Genomic DNA, 14578 nt, shown 5'->3' with positions numbered 1-14578 from the left:
CCCTCCCATCACCACCCTTACATGGGACAGGATGGCCAGAGGTGGGTAATTTCCTTCCTCCAGGCAGGTTAGGCTCTGAAAACAAAAAACAAAACAAAACAAAACAAAACACCAGTAGCTTAGGTGAAATATTTGCCCTTGAGGAAAGACCTTGTTAAGAAGAACAGAAAGCTCTGGTGTACTTCAAGACGGTTCCTTTTCACCTTCCCTTTCTGGAAGCATGAGGAGATTTTTCTCCAACATTCACTGTGAGAACCCGGTCAAGCTAGGTGTCAAACTCACAGAAGTGTGGGGACCCTTCTCTGTCTGGGTCTTCCTGGAGTTCTTAACTCTCAGATGTGTCCACATCGAACATCCAACAATTCGTCAATTAAGTTTAGGTTTTCCTACCTTGACAACGGTTTCCCCAAAGGTTAGTGCTTGTGGAAGAAAACTGTCATTCTGTATATAAGCCTGCCTGTCTCTCCAATTTTGAGGGGCAGTGGTTTGTTCTGTGACCTCACTTCTCTGCTGGATCTAAAAAAATTGGTTAATTTTTCAGTTTGCCTGGCTTTTTACTTGTTCTTAAGATAGAGTGCTGACTTCCAAGCTCTGAAGCAACTGCTTTTTGAAGGTTATTACGATATATACATTTCAAGCTATTAGAGTAGTTTGAAATTGCACATTTTATAATCATTATTGCTTGATTTGTACAACTAGAGAATTTATTACTGGCTATAGAGCAATGCGGCATCTAAAGAGAAGGTGACATTTTCTAGGGCAGAAAAGAGACCAGAGTTTAGTGATTCCCCTATCATTAGCTAGATTTTGTCAGTAGATACTTCCCTAACCAACTTTTCTGAGCCTTGGTTTCCTCATCTTAAAATGATGACAACCAAGGTCCTTCCTGGTTGTGACTTTGGTTGAGTCTTTTGATATCCACCAAGACCATTTTTATGGGATTTCTCACTTTGCTTTCATTGTTTGAGTCGGGATTTTGGAGGTAATTGGTATCTTATGGCAGAACGCTTGTGTTTCTTTATCTTCAGCACATTGCTGTGCAGGTGGCTCTGAATCTTCTGAACATCCCCTGTAAAGTTTTACTATTTTTTGACAATCTTTGCTAAGGCACTTTAAATGCCCATGTAATTTCAGTTATTTTTTTCTTTTTCCTTGATGCTTGCTGACCCATTTGGTTATTGTCCAAATTTATGAAACTTTTGAAACCTTTTGTCAGCACAATAAATGAGAACAGTTTATTCCAGATTTCCACTTTGCAGAGAGTTGGAAGAGCTAGGTGACAACAAATTTCTGTAAAAATGTAACTATTTAAAAGGCGTTCTAGTGCAATCTTCTATAATCAAGCTGTGTTCATTTCTTTTTTTCCTTTTTTTTTTTTTTTTTGAGATGCAGTCTTGCTCTGTCGCCAGGCTGGAGTGCAATGGCGCAATCTTGGCTCACTGCAACCTCTGCCTCTCTGGTTCAAGGGATTCTCCTGCCTCAGCCTCCCAAGTAGCTGGGACTACAGGTGCGGGCGCCACCACGCCCAGCTAATTTTTGTATTTTTAGTAGAGATGGGGTTTCACCACGTTGGCCAGGATGGTCTCGATCTCTCGATCTCGTGATCTGTCCGCCTTGGCCTCCCAAAGTGCTGAGATTACAGGCGTGAGCCACCATGCGCAGCCCAAGCAGTGTTCATTTCTAATATCTAAAGCACGAGAAATAATCAAGTTTCTTTGGTTATGAAAAAATTATATGACATAAAAATCACTAAATTATTTAAGATGCACATAGAACATTAACATATCTATGTTATTTCTTAGCATTTTTAAACACCTCTGTTTTTTCTAAATACAGAAAGCATGTAAATCACCGAATCAGAGGTTTGTATTTTATCATGATGCACATGAACAGATGTATTATGAGGAGTGTAGGAGCTAGAGAGATGCCTTGGCAGAGCATTGAATCTTGCCTATAATCCAATCCAGGCAAAGAAGAAATACAAGAAAATTTTGTTGACAACAAAATTAATAAATACATATTTAATGCTTCTACTTAGCAAGTACACACTATCAAACTGCATGTTTTAATAATGCTGCCAACTAGGTAAATTTCTCCTTGGTCTATTCTGATCTATGCATCTAACGATTATCAACATACCTGTCATATTGCAGTACACAAGAAATGGTCCCAGGGGGCCACTTCCATCTGCATCAATATAGTAAAGCCCGGATGGGTTCCCTCGGTGCTTGTGGGCTTCACAAGACTGCTCGTAGAGAGCTGTAGGAGAACACCAGCCAAAAGAACCAGAAAAAATATCTCCAGATGTTGAGTCAGTGTCCAAAGGTTTGCATTTCTGAATTACAGACATGTGATACATATGACCCAACATCATTTTTATAGTGTATGACAGTATATTTGATGAGATGCAAAAAAAATGACATTTAAAAAATTAAATCTATTTTTATTAACAAAGGAGAAAAAAATTACCTAGTCAAAATACATTCAAAGGTTGGATGTTGTTAGATGCTGAATAAATATTCGGTCACAGTGTATTTCTATTTTGAGGAAGAAGGAAAGATTGTGTTGGTGTTCAAACATGAAGATGTGCTTACAGTGGGAATGCGATACTATCTTCAATAGACAATCTTTTGGCAATGTCTAGAGACTGTACTTTCTCTACATAAATGTTTTCTTTTGCTTTTAGGCAAGAAAGCATGCAAACTCTGAAGCACAGTGTAAAACACTTGAAGAGATACGAGAGGAAAACTTTGTGAATCTGAATTCTGCGTGCTATTGAAGCATGGTTCTTTCCAAACTCATGGCAACTATACCTCAGAATTAAACTCTATAATTAAGGAAGAAACCCTCATTCTCCCTGTAATAACTGAATACCTAAGCACATTAAAATGCCTAAATAATCTGGTATTTTCCCATAAGCATTCTGTAAAGTTTTTCTTAAGCTATGCGGCAGTTATACCCTTTGCTTCCTTTAAAACAATATGAATGAGCATTTTAAAGAGATAAATGGAATTTATAAGCTATCAACTTCTCGTCATTAAAAAATAATTAAAGCTGATTTAAAAAAGAAACATCCCTAAGTATTTTGCAAGTGACAATTCAAGACAGCCGAAATTCAAAACAGGAGAGAAACTTTTTTGAAAGACATCCCTATATAATGTAAATTTACTCTAGCATAATTGAGTATTTTCATTTGTGCAAGTAAATGTTTTACCAAGTACAAGGTATGGAATTAATATCTGCAGGAGATGGACATTGCTAATCTTTATTTTTTTGCCACTTATGGCATATTGATTTAAATAGATACATATATTTGTATATGTCTGGTGGGATTCACTCAAATTAATAACAATACTTAAATATAGGGCACAGACTAGGTTTGGAATGGAGACAAATATTGAGGAAAGTGACTAGAACTTGTGCTTTATGTGAACTGTTTGGCTTTTTAAATGATAATGTATACATGTATTAATGTATAGTATATATTAATTGAATACAATTGATTTTAATTGTATAATTAATTATATACAATGAGTTATATACAATTAATAATTATATACAATTAATTAGTTGCACATAATTGATACATGTTATACAATTAGAAATACAAAATAACCTATTCAACTAGGTGTGGCAGTCTAGTCTCACAGTGAATGACTGTGGGCTTGGCAAATTTCTACCTATAGCCATCAATTATTAGATGAGACTGACACTTGAAATACTTTTTCAATCTCCTGATATTTTCCCTCAGAAGTTTTTGGAGTTATATTTTGATTGCAGTGAATAACCATGGACTAATATAACTCATTGATTAATTGCAATATTAAATGCAATCAGACAATGCTGAGTGTGGTGGCAGATATAAATTTTCCAGGTAACACACAAGATTAGGCTTCTGCTTTTAGGTAAGATACTATGCCTGGAGGATGAAAGATACACAGAAGTAAAAGATGTGGTCCCTGCACCAACTCTATGACCTTATCAAGACATTCAGCCTCTGGTGTGAGAGGCCACTCAACTCCTAGAAAATGTGTCACAGCGGCTGGGCATGGTGGCTCATGCCTGTAATCCCAGCACTTCGGGAGTCCAAGGCAGGTGGATCACAAGGTCAGGAGATCGAGACCATCCCGGCTAACATGGCAAAACCCCATCTCTACTAAAAATACAAAAAATTAGCCGGGCGTGGTGGCGGGCGCCTGTAGTCCCAGGTACTCGGGAGGCTGAGGCAGGAGAATGGCGTGAACCTGGGAGGCGGAACTTGCAGTGAGCTGAGATCATGCCACTGGGCTCCAGCCTGGGCGACAGAGCAAGACTCCATCTCAAAAAACAAAAAACAAACAAACAAAAAAAAGAAAATGTGTCACAGCTTTATAAACAGGGACCCTTCTAGTACAAAAATCATACTTCATGCTTCAATCTGTGAGAGTCACTCCTGGACTGTCTCCTCTTTTGCCCAGATCCTTTACAGAACCTCAGGACTGGGAGCGCAGAATTCTCATTGCAAGTATGAAGTGTGGTTTTAACACTCCACAGCCTGCCTTTCTCCTGTGGCTTTTGTGAAAATCAAATGTCTCACGGAAGAGTTCTTAAAAGTTTCAATTAGGAACTCAGGATGAGCAAGTGGAACTGAGGACTTTGCATCTCTGTTTCCTTGAAGACCCAGGGATGGGCGAAATATTCCTGAGGAGAAGTTGCTCAGAAACGTCAGTAGAGATATACAGAAAGAAAACTCTAAAAGTTAAAAACAAATAAGAAAAAAAAGGCTTTTCAGATTCTGTGATGTTCTAATTATAACAGGTTAGAGGTCAATAAAACGGCATGGCCTTTGAAATTCACAGAGGGTGATTCTTCAGTAAAGACAGATGATTTTTAATATGGCAGAGGCAGTTGAGAAGTGTTAGAATATGCCATCCCTTAGACATTGTTCTTACACTTAAATGTCTACCAGAAGCATGAGGAAGGTTGGTTACAAGAGACTCGGGGCCCCATCTCCAGCGATTCTGATTTAGTAGGTTTGGGTAAGGCCTGAGAGTCTTTACTTGCAACAGGTTCCCAGGGGCTGTGGGTGCTGCTGGTGCATGGACCACCAATCAGGCATCCTGGAGCCAAGGCTGTGGAGCCAACCTCCTTAGCTCAACTCCTCATCTTCCCACAAACTAGCTGGGGGCCAAGTTACTTAACCTCTTTCTGTCCTCAACTCTGCAATGAAGATAATAGTACTTTCTTCCAGCTGCTTTAGGGTTAAATGAGTTAATATATGCAAAGCAATAGCAGAGGGCTGACATAAGTACTCAATACATTAATACTTTTACAATTATTCACTTTACAATCATCATCACCACCACCAAAGAAAATCACAGTCATTGTAAGAGATCTTAAAGGTCCTCTAGTTTCTAGCTGATATCCCATTACCTCTTCAAAAATCTTGCCATGTACAATCCCATGATTGCATCATCCCAGTGATTGTTAAAAAATCTTTAAATACCTTAAATGCAACATTGACAGCCTGGCAAGGGGTTGTTTTTCCACCTTTCTTTGACTGAGAAGATTCTCAGAATTAAAATTATGGTCCAACTCAAGTAATGGAACAAGCTGTTAACATCATGCATTTTTAATTTAATTTAGTTTCTACCTTTTACTATATCTGATTCTCCTAGACTTATTTCCCCATTGCTTGCCAGTTTCTTTTTTCAATCCTATGTGTACCACGTATTTCTGTGCACTGTCTCAACACCCTTGTATTAAATAAGGTGGATTAAAAGTAAACTAGAAATTGAATGCTGAAATATCTCTTCTGATGTGTTTGCATGATTGCAAATATGCAGATACATATAAACAACTAATCAAAATGAAATGACAAAGAGATGCTGACAGAAACGAGAGGGAGGTGTGAGGCTTACAGGAATGGCAGGTCTCGCCCGTATAGCCTGTGCCCAGACAATCACAGGAGAAGGTGTCCCACGACTGGGAACACTCGCCCCCATGCTCACAGTAGCTGGGCAAGCACCTAAAAGAAAACAGATACAACTGCTGTTTCCCTTTTTCAATCATCAAAAAATAAGTGTCTTACCAAAAACAGGTTAACCAAAAACAGGTTAATGTGAAAGAGCAGCATACGCAAGATAACCCCACATGACGTGATTACTGGGTCTGCCATCAAGGTTCTCTAATTATATTGACAAACTTTAGATAAATATATCCATTAGCATGCAGCTGATTATTAGGTTTCTGAGACAGCTGAATTTTCAACACATTTCTTTTTTTCTTTGTCCCAAGTGACACAATAACTTGACATGTGGCTAGCAAAACCAATTACATACATAAAACTATGAAATATGGCATGCTCCGTTACTATATTGTGGTCATTTTTAAAAGAAAGAAGGGGAAACAGGGAGGAAGATACAGAGGGGAGAAGAAAGAAACAGGAACAGCTTCAGTCACATAGTGACAGAGGTTCAGAAATTTTGAAGAACATTTAATTTAGGTCATCTTGTCACCTTTTAGATTTGCAATAAGCAGTCGGTTATTGCTTTTTAAGCAATCTTAACACTGGTAATATGTCAATATGACCCAAAGCAATCTACAAATTCAATACAATTCTTATTAAAATCCCAATGCCTTTTTTTGCAGAAAACAAAAATCCATCCTAAAATTCATAGGGAACCTCAAGGGACCCTGAACCAGCCAATGTTGAAAAAGAACAGTTGGAGGTCTCACACTTTCAGAATTCTTGGAATCTGCTGCCGCCCACTATAATATTGGGGGCCTAGCATGCCTGCCTCTCAGGATTGTTAGGGGAACAGGGAGCAGGGTACACTATGGAAACTGACCAGCACCTGACACAGAGTGTCACCAAGAGGTAGTGTGACCTTCTGGAGGCCTGGCCTGAATACCATGACCCACCTCTGCCTTGAGCAGGGTTGGATCTCAGCCTCTGGCCGCTGTCTCCCACTGCTGAGTACACAGCTAAGGACCTGGTAAAGAGTGAAGATTCTAAAGGACACTGACCTTCCAGGCCGTGAGGGACATCATAGTCCATGCTGGAGCGGCAGAGGCGGGGAGCACCCCAGTGCCCCTCACCATGGGACCCAGAGAAGTAACAGAAGAGGGGCCGGGAGGTTGTGACAGGCCTCCTGGCTGTGGTGGAAGGACGACCAGCAGAGAACTGGGGTATGAAGTTGACAGAAAGCCCCAGGGGCCTGTATTTGGCCTCGGGAGAGATCCTTTGAGGGGAACCTGAGGGGCTGGGAAGAATCCGCAGCATTCCCTACCCTCCCCATGCCCCCAGCCCCCTATCCTGGCTCTCCAGCACTGCACCACCAGCTCAGGGCCAAGACTTCCATAATTACATGGTGTTAATGAGCATTTAGTCTGCATTCAGAGAAGAGTTAGGGGCCATGAGAATCACAACTTTTCAAGTATTTCAAAGGCCAAGGCATGGAAAAGCCTGTGTGAACTGATCAGAAGAGGGGGAGCTGGAGCGACAGGCAAGGTTGGCTGGGGTGGGGGCCCACCCTCATACCATTTTTAAAAGAGCAGCTGTTCCTCTTCCCCCACATCCTTCTCCCTCTCCTCCCCTTCCTTCTTAATATAATGGAGCATCTTAAGATCATACCTGACTTGAAGATTCCACAAATTTTAAAAAACATTAAAAACCACTGCTGTTTGATATCAACAGGGAGAGAATAACTTTAGTTCAAAATATTTGGAAATAAGAACTATTTAAGTGATCTAGAGACTATCAACATGTATACACTATTTTTCTTCAACTAAACACAACATCAATTGTGAAAAATTTACATGTATTACAAATAATAGAGGAAGTAGCTAGCATGCAGAAGACCAACAGAGGGGAAGATGGCAGAGGGAGGGCAGGAGTGGGGTCAGAAGCCTGGTCAGCACAGCCAGGTGAGGAGGTGACGGAGGCCTCCCTGCTCAGGGAGCCCCAGTTGGAACGCAGCACAGGACTCCACTGGAAGCTCTGCCATGTGGTATACAGGGCAAACCTTAAAACAGTATAGGAATTTGATGTAAGAGGTGATTAAGAAGTTAAAACCTATCCTGGCCGGGTGTGGTGGCTCACGCCTGTAATCCCAGCACTTTGGGAGGCTGACGCGGGTGGATCACGAGGTCAGGAGATCGAGACCATCCTGGCTAACACGGTGAAACCCCGTCTTTACTAAAAATACAAAAAATTAGCCAGGTGTGGTGGCGGGCGCCTGTAGTTCCAGCTACTCGGGAGGCCGAGGCACGAGATTGGCATGAACCCAGGAGGCGGAGCTTGCAGTGAGCCGAGATCGTGCCACTGCACTCCAGCCTGGGCGATAGAGCGAGACTCTGTCTCAAAAAAACAAACAAACAAACACCTATCCAAACATAAACATCCATTATTTGTGACTCTGTCATCCAAAGTGCCCATTGCTATTTTTTGCGTAGCTTAAAATTTTGACTAAAAAAGATAACTTCATACCCCTTATCTGTCCCTAAGTAGGATTTTTAGGTCTGGTATTTGAGTAACATATGTTTCTACTTTGTGAGTTAGTGATATGGTTTGGCTGTGTCCCCACCCAAATCTCATCTTAAATTGTAGTTCTCATAATTCCCACCGTGTCATGGGAGGGAACCTGTGGGAGGTAACTGAATCATGCGGGCAGATCTTTCTCAGGCTTTTCTCATGATAGTGAATAAGTCTCACGAGATCTGATGGTTTTATAAAGGGGAGTTTCCCTGCACAGGTTCTCTTGCGTGCTGCCATATAAGACGTGTCTTGTTTCTCCTTCACCTTCTGCTATCATTGTGAGGCCTCCCCAGCCATGTGGAACTGTGAATCCATTAAGCCTTTTTTCTTTATAATTACCCAGTCTTGGGTATATCTTTATTAGCAGCATGAGAACAGACTAATACAATTAGATTTTTGTTTGTTTGTTTGTTTGTTTGTTAACAACAACAAAGAAAGGCTGATAGATGCTTACAGGCCTGTTTTCAGGATACTTAAAAGTGAATTTTCAGTATTTTCAGGTTTTGAAAACTTTATGTAAAGGGAACAGCAAAGGTCTTTAATTTTAACTCTGTAGGATGTCATTTTGTGTCCCCAAAGTTTTCTAATTTTATTGCTTTATAAAATTCAGGTTTTCAAAATAATCTCAGAGGAGCTAGTCTTCTACGTTACTGAATTTGGGAATGAAATAGTAAATAGCCTTTATTTGTAGCCCTATTTGAAAATGATTTAAAAGTGCTTTCTTAAAATCCTTATCTGCAATGATTATTGTACACATCATGGCTGAAGTTTAAGTGTGGCTCACACATACATGCTTAGTTGAGCATGTTTACAAGTAACTTTGGGGTACAATTTGGAGGGCTTTTTAAAATGTGGGATCTTAGATACCAAGTTAGGCACCAATGTAACTCTTGGGACTTTAAGGTTAAAACAAAACAGCCTATAACAGTAAAAACAATAGTTTTGTACTTTGGGAGCTACATGCACAAAGCAGGCAACATGGATCATCTCTGAAAAGAGGCAGCCTCACAATATATATCTCATAACAGAAACACTGCAAATGGATCATATTTTGTGAGTAATTAACAAGGTATCAAAATAATGTCATACAAGTGAAGAAAATCACACTTGCATCACAGTTGAGCTGACAGCTGTTGTCACTCACAGTGTGGGCCCATGGGACATTACCCCTTAACTCAGAGAGAGCTGAGCTCCCTGGCTAGTTAGCTGAGCAACTTGGGATTATATTAAGTGAGCAAATGGCCAGAAACCTTCCCAACTACCCTTCCCACGACTACAGAGTGGGGTTCTGGAGCTGGTGTTGAGATGTAAATGCAGTCCCAGCTGTGTGCCAAGAATTCAAATCTCAAGGTCAAGAATGAGAGGTACTTGACAAATTCTTACACTTCATATACTCCTCATCTTTGAATTAATTCATTTTTCCTACAAATCAACAGAATGTTCACAGGGGGAAATTATTCCATGCTGAATAAATAAAGTCCATATGAATGAACTTTTCATTTAGTAGTAATTGCGTTTTTTTAGTATGTCACTAACTGTGAGTTATAAATTAAAACCTGTTTAGCCAGAGAGGATAATTTTACAGTTAATGTTTAAAACAGAATTGACTAACTGAATTTACTCCATGAAGAAGGCAGGTTTTGAAAGTTCTACCAGATGCAGATATAACTTTTTTTTTTTTTTTTTTTTGAGAAGAGTCTGGCTCTGTTGCCCAGGCTGGAGTGCAGTGGCACGATCTCATTCACTGCAAGCTCCGCCTCCCGGGTTCACGCCATTCTCCTGCCTCAGCGTGCCGAGTAGCTGGAACTACAGGCGCCCGCCACCATGCCTGGCTAATTTTTTGCATTTTTAGTAGAGACGGGGTTTCACCATGTTAGCCAGGATGGTCTCGATCTCCTGACCTCGTGATCCGCCCGCCTCGGCCTCCCAAAGTGCTGGGATTACAGGCGTGAGCCACCGCGCTGGGCCAGATTATCGCTTTTTAATTTTTAAATCTGTAGCATTTATTTATTCACTGAAAGTAAATACCAAATGTACTGGGGCAAATTGTATGTAGAAATATTATTTTTCCAGGTGTGACCCTATGATTCTTCTCAGCCAAAATCTTTGTAAAATTATGGCACAACTAGCATAACTGTGGTTGTAATACTTATTTGAATTAAATGTTTTTCTTGTCTAACCTCCATATTTCATTGAGTATGTCCTTCTGCACACATCTTCATCCGTCTTTATGATTCAAACTTTTCTAGCAGAAATTACTTTTTATTTTCTCTGCAGAACATGTGGGGTTGGGTGGCTGATGAATAGTAACCTGGCAAATTCCTCTGCCTGGAAAAATATCATCCAACTGATGGGTGTGTGGTTGCAAAAGCGAGCTTTATAACTATTAGCTGAGCAACTCGGGATCATATTAAGGTAAAATTCATAAGGTGTATATCTTCTAATAAAATACTATCATTTAAAAAATGCTATTTATTCCATTAGAGATGCAGTTTTTGCTTTTGTTTTGAGACGGAGTCTCGCTCTGTCACCCAGGCTGGAGTGCAGTGGCGCGATCTCTGCTCACTGCAAGCTCCACCTCCCGGGTTCATGCCATTCTCCTGCCTCAGCCTCCCCAGTAGCTGGGACTACAGGCGCCTGCCACCACGCCTGGCTAATTTTTTTTTTCTGTATTTTTAGTAGAGACGGGGTTTCACCATGTTAGCCAGGATGAAGTTGATCTCCTGATCTCGTGATCCGCCAGCCTCAGCCGCATTACAGGTGTGAGCCACCACGCCCGGCCAAGATGAAGTTTTCTAATCCTCATAGTAATTATGACTATTTCATTCCCTCTCGAAAGATAACAACAACAAAAAAGAGAACGGAATGCCTTTTTCCAGCTGTCTACATTTGCTTTCTTCAACTTTGAAAACAGGCAAGCTAAAGTGACCTAGGATGGCCCTTACCTGTCTGTGATGCCGCAGGAGTCTATCTGGAGGTCCCTGAAACTCCCCAGCGCCCCCTGCTGTACTAAGATGGGATCCACCGCTTTGTCACCAATGGTGATGAGCCTTAGGCAGCCCTGAAACCCTCCCAGGGGGCTTTTACATCCAGAGCCAGAGCTGTTGCCCAGGCAGCCTGAATATGAAGACAAAAATAGGACAAAAGCAACAACTATGACAAAACTATTCCACAGTATTTACTATATGAAGACTGCTGCTCCCGCTTGTTTATGGACATCGGTATGATGCGATGAGCTTCACCATTCATTAGAGAGGTGAGAAGGGGCAAGGTTAGAACTGATCAAATTTAAGATAATACCTGGAATTCAGAATAAGAAATTGCGGGGGAAAATTCAGATCTAAAATTCCTATAACAGGAATTATTTCCCAACCAAGTGAAAAGAGGTTTGGCTTCTTTTGTGAAATCTCATCTAAGAAATAAGCATGCATTTTAGCATTATGTAGTATAAGTGAAAAAAATTAAAGTGGAGGTTAAATTAAAATAAATGAAATCATAGCCCAAATTTTATTTAGGATATGCTGTGAAGTGTGAAAAATGCTACCTGAAAATATAATTGTGTACTACCATTTATCTAAAATATGTTAAATATCTACCCTATAGCTGTTTTTGTGCGTTGCGATGTCTGTATATTTGGGAGTATTTAAAAACGTATTTTTTTATACTGACTGGGTGGAAATACCTAGATTTGCTTTTCTAGTAACACTTTCTTTGGTATTAGGTACTTTAGTCAAATATATAACTAAAGATTAAATTCTAATGTTAACAACAACACAAAAAGTAACAGGACATAACACACTGTTAGGGTATATAAGGATAAAAATTTGCAGTCCAGAATGTTCTAGGAATAGAAAGAGATAAAATAGACATTTGATTATTTCCAATATTAGAAGTTAAATATTAAAAATTTCACTACAATCGTCAGCTAATTTCACCTAAATTACAAATGGCAATGCTTATGACATCACTTCCCTTTACTATGTGGGCTTGTTTTGTGAAACAAGAACAGTACTTATAAGAAGCAGTGGTGAGTGCCTGACTTTGACGTAAGCAGTATTACTCCACACCAGTCCAAGCATATAGGAAAGTAGTGTCTTGAACTTACTCCCACCCTCTTGAGTTACAATATATAACCTAATAATGGAACTCTAAGTTTGAAAAGTAAGGAAAAGGATGAAAGTACACACTCTAGTTAAAGAAAACACAATAATTGTAAAATCTTATTATTTAAAGACAACTGTTTGTAGAAAGAGTCATATTAATTCAGAATAAAATCATAAGGCATTTGTCTACGTCAGGAGTCTGCAAAGGTTTTCTGTAAAACGCAGATAGTAAACACTTTTGGTTTTGTGGGTCACACCTGGTCTCTGTTGCATGTCCTTCTTGTTATAACCCTTTAAAAATACAAAGCAGGGCTGGGCGCGGTGGCTCACGCCTGTAAACCCAGCACTTTGGGAGGCCAAGGCGGGCGGATCATGAGGTCAGGAGATCGAGACCATCCTGGCTAATTCGGTGAAACCCCGTCTCTACTAAAAATACAAAAAAAAATTAGCTGGGCGTGGTGGCGGGTGCCTGTAGTCCCAGTTACTCGGGAAGCTGAGGCAGGAGAATGGCGTGAACCCAGCAGGCGGAGCTTGCAGTGAGCCGAGATGGTGCCACTGCACTCCAGCCTGGGCAACAGAGCGAGACTTCATCTCAAATAAAATAAAAATAAAAATAAAAATACAAAGCAATTATTCATTTGGGCTTATATAATATGCCATGGACCGTGATTTGCCTACCTCTGATCTAAATGAATACTTAATTTTAACATACAAATATGAAAGAGGAACCTCATTTCATAATGGTGTAATGCCAATGACAAGAGAAATTGAATTAGTAATTAATTTAATTGTATATTATGAAATTATATAGCTTTTAAAAATTTTATCCTTTGCCTTATTTTAAAAAAGAAGCCTGCTTATATTGATTCTGTAAGTATTGTCTCTTTCAAACTTGTGAGATATAATTTCTTATTTTCTTTTCCCAATCATTCAAATATTAGGTATTAAACCTAATATTTGGCATGACACTTTCAGTCCATGCAAATACCCTTTTCTCCAAAGATTATAGTAAATATACATCAATATTTATCACTAGAGGATTGAGTTTTCTTTACAGTGTTCATTAAAATGAAAAAAATGAAGTATAGAATTTGTACTTATGTGTTTTTCATTGACCTCTCTTTGACCTTATATTGTTAATCACTAGCACAATTTCAAAAAATAGTCAATGAAGATTCCTCTTACTGGAATAAATGAAGCACCTCTCAATGCCTGTACTCTTATTTCCTCCCTAAAAGTTCCATAAAAATTAAATGTTGTGTTTAGATTTCTATTTTAATAACTGAAGCTTTATCTCTTTAACTTTAATACTTTCTGCTTTAGATCCCTAAAGTAAAAGCCTCCCTCATATTAAGGCTTCTTTTTAGCTTATCGAAACCATACATAACCTCACAGACACTTGGAAGTTTAACATTTAACACCATATTTGTTTAAAAGTTTGAAGACTAAAATCTTTTATATTTTTATATTTACAAAAGAAATAAAAGTTTAAATGGTACAGCAGAACCTTCTGAAGAATGGGATAGAGAGTGAACTTTGTATAATTCTACTGCATCTCACTAATCATTAAGAAATAAACACATTAAGTTAAGAATTAAGAGGATTATTAATTCAATAAATATTTTCCAGTAATGAATTATAGGAATATCAACAGTTCTGCTAATCTTTCTTTCACCATGTGGTGTTTCCTGACACATAACTTAGGTTATCTTTTTTTTTTTTTTTTTGAGACCTGAGTCTCGTGCTGTCACCCAGGCTGCAGTGCAGTGGTGTGATCTCTGCTCACTGCAAGCTCCACCACCCAGGTTCACAGCATTCTCCTGCCTCAGCCTCCCGAGTGGCTGGGACTACAGACACGCACCATCATGCCCTGCTAATTTCTTTTTTTGTATTTTTTTTCAGTAGAGACGGGGTTTCACCATATTAGCCAGGATGGTTTTGATCTCCTGACCTCGTG

General features: G+C 39.5%; 1 pseudogene across 1 annotated transcript in view; it reads right to left on the bottom strand.

The window, feature by feature from the left end:
* Positions 1–14578, bottom strand: part of CNTNAP3P2 (CNTNAP3 pseudogene 2) — a 237697-nt pseudogene that overhangs the window by 68329 nt on the left and 154790 nt on the right. The window contains exons 10-12 of the transcript NR_111893.2: positions 11464–11635; positions 5901–6007; positions 2140–2259 (exon numbers count right to left, since the gene is read on the bottom strand). The product of NR_111893.2 is annotated as a CNTNAP3 pseudogene 2 (transcript). The remainder of the gene's footprint in view (positions 1–2139; positions 2260–5900; positions 6008–11463; positions 11636–14578) is intronic.

Source organism: Homo sapiens, chromosome 9 (genome assembly GCF_000001405.40).
Source record: "Homo sapiens chromosome 9, GRCh38.p14 Primary Assembly".
NCBI classification, from domain to species: domain Eukaryota; kingdom Metazoa; phylum Chordata; class Mammalia; order Primates; family Hominidae; genus Homo; species Homo sapiens.
Note: the sequence above shows the minus strand (reverse complement) of the source record. Positions and strands in the feature narration are given on the sequence as shown.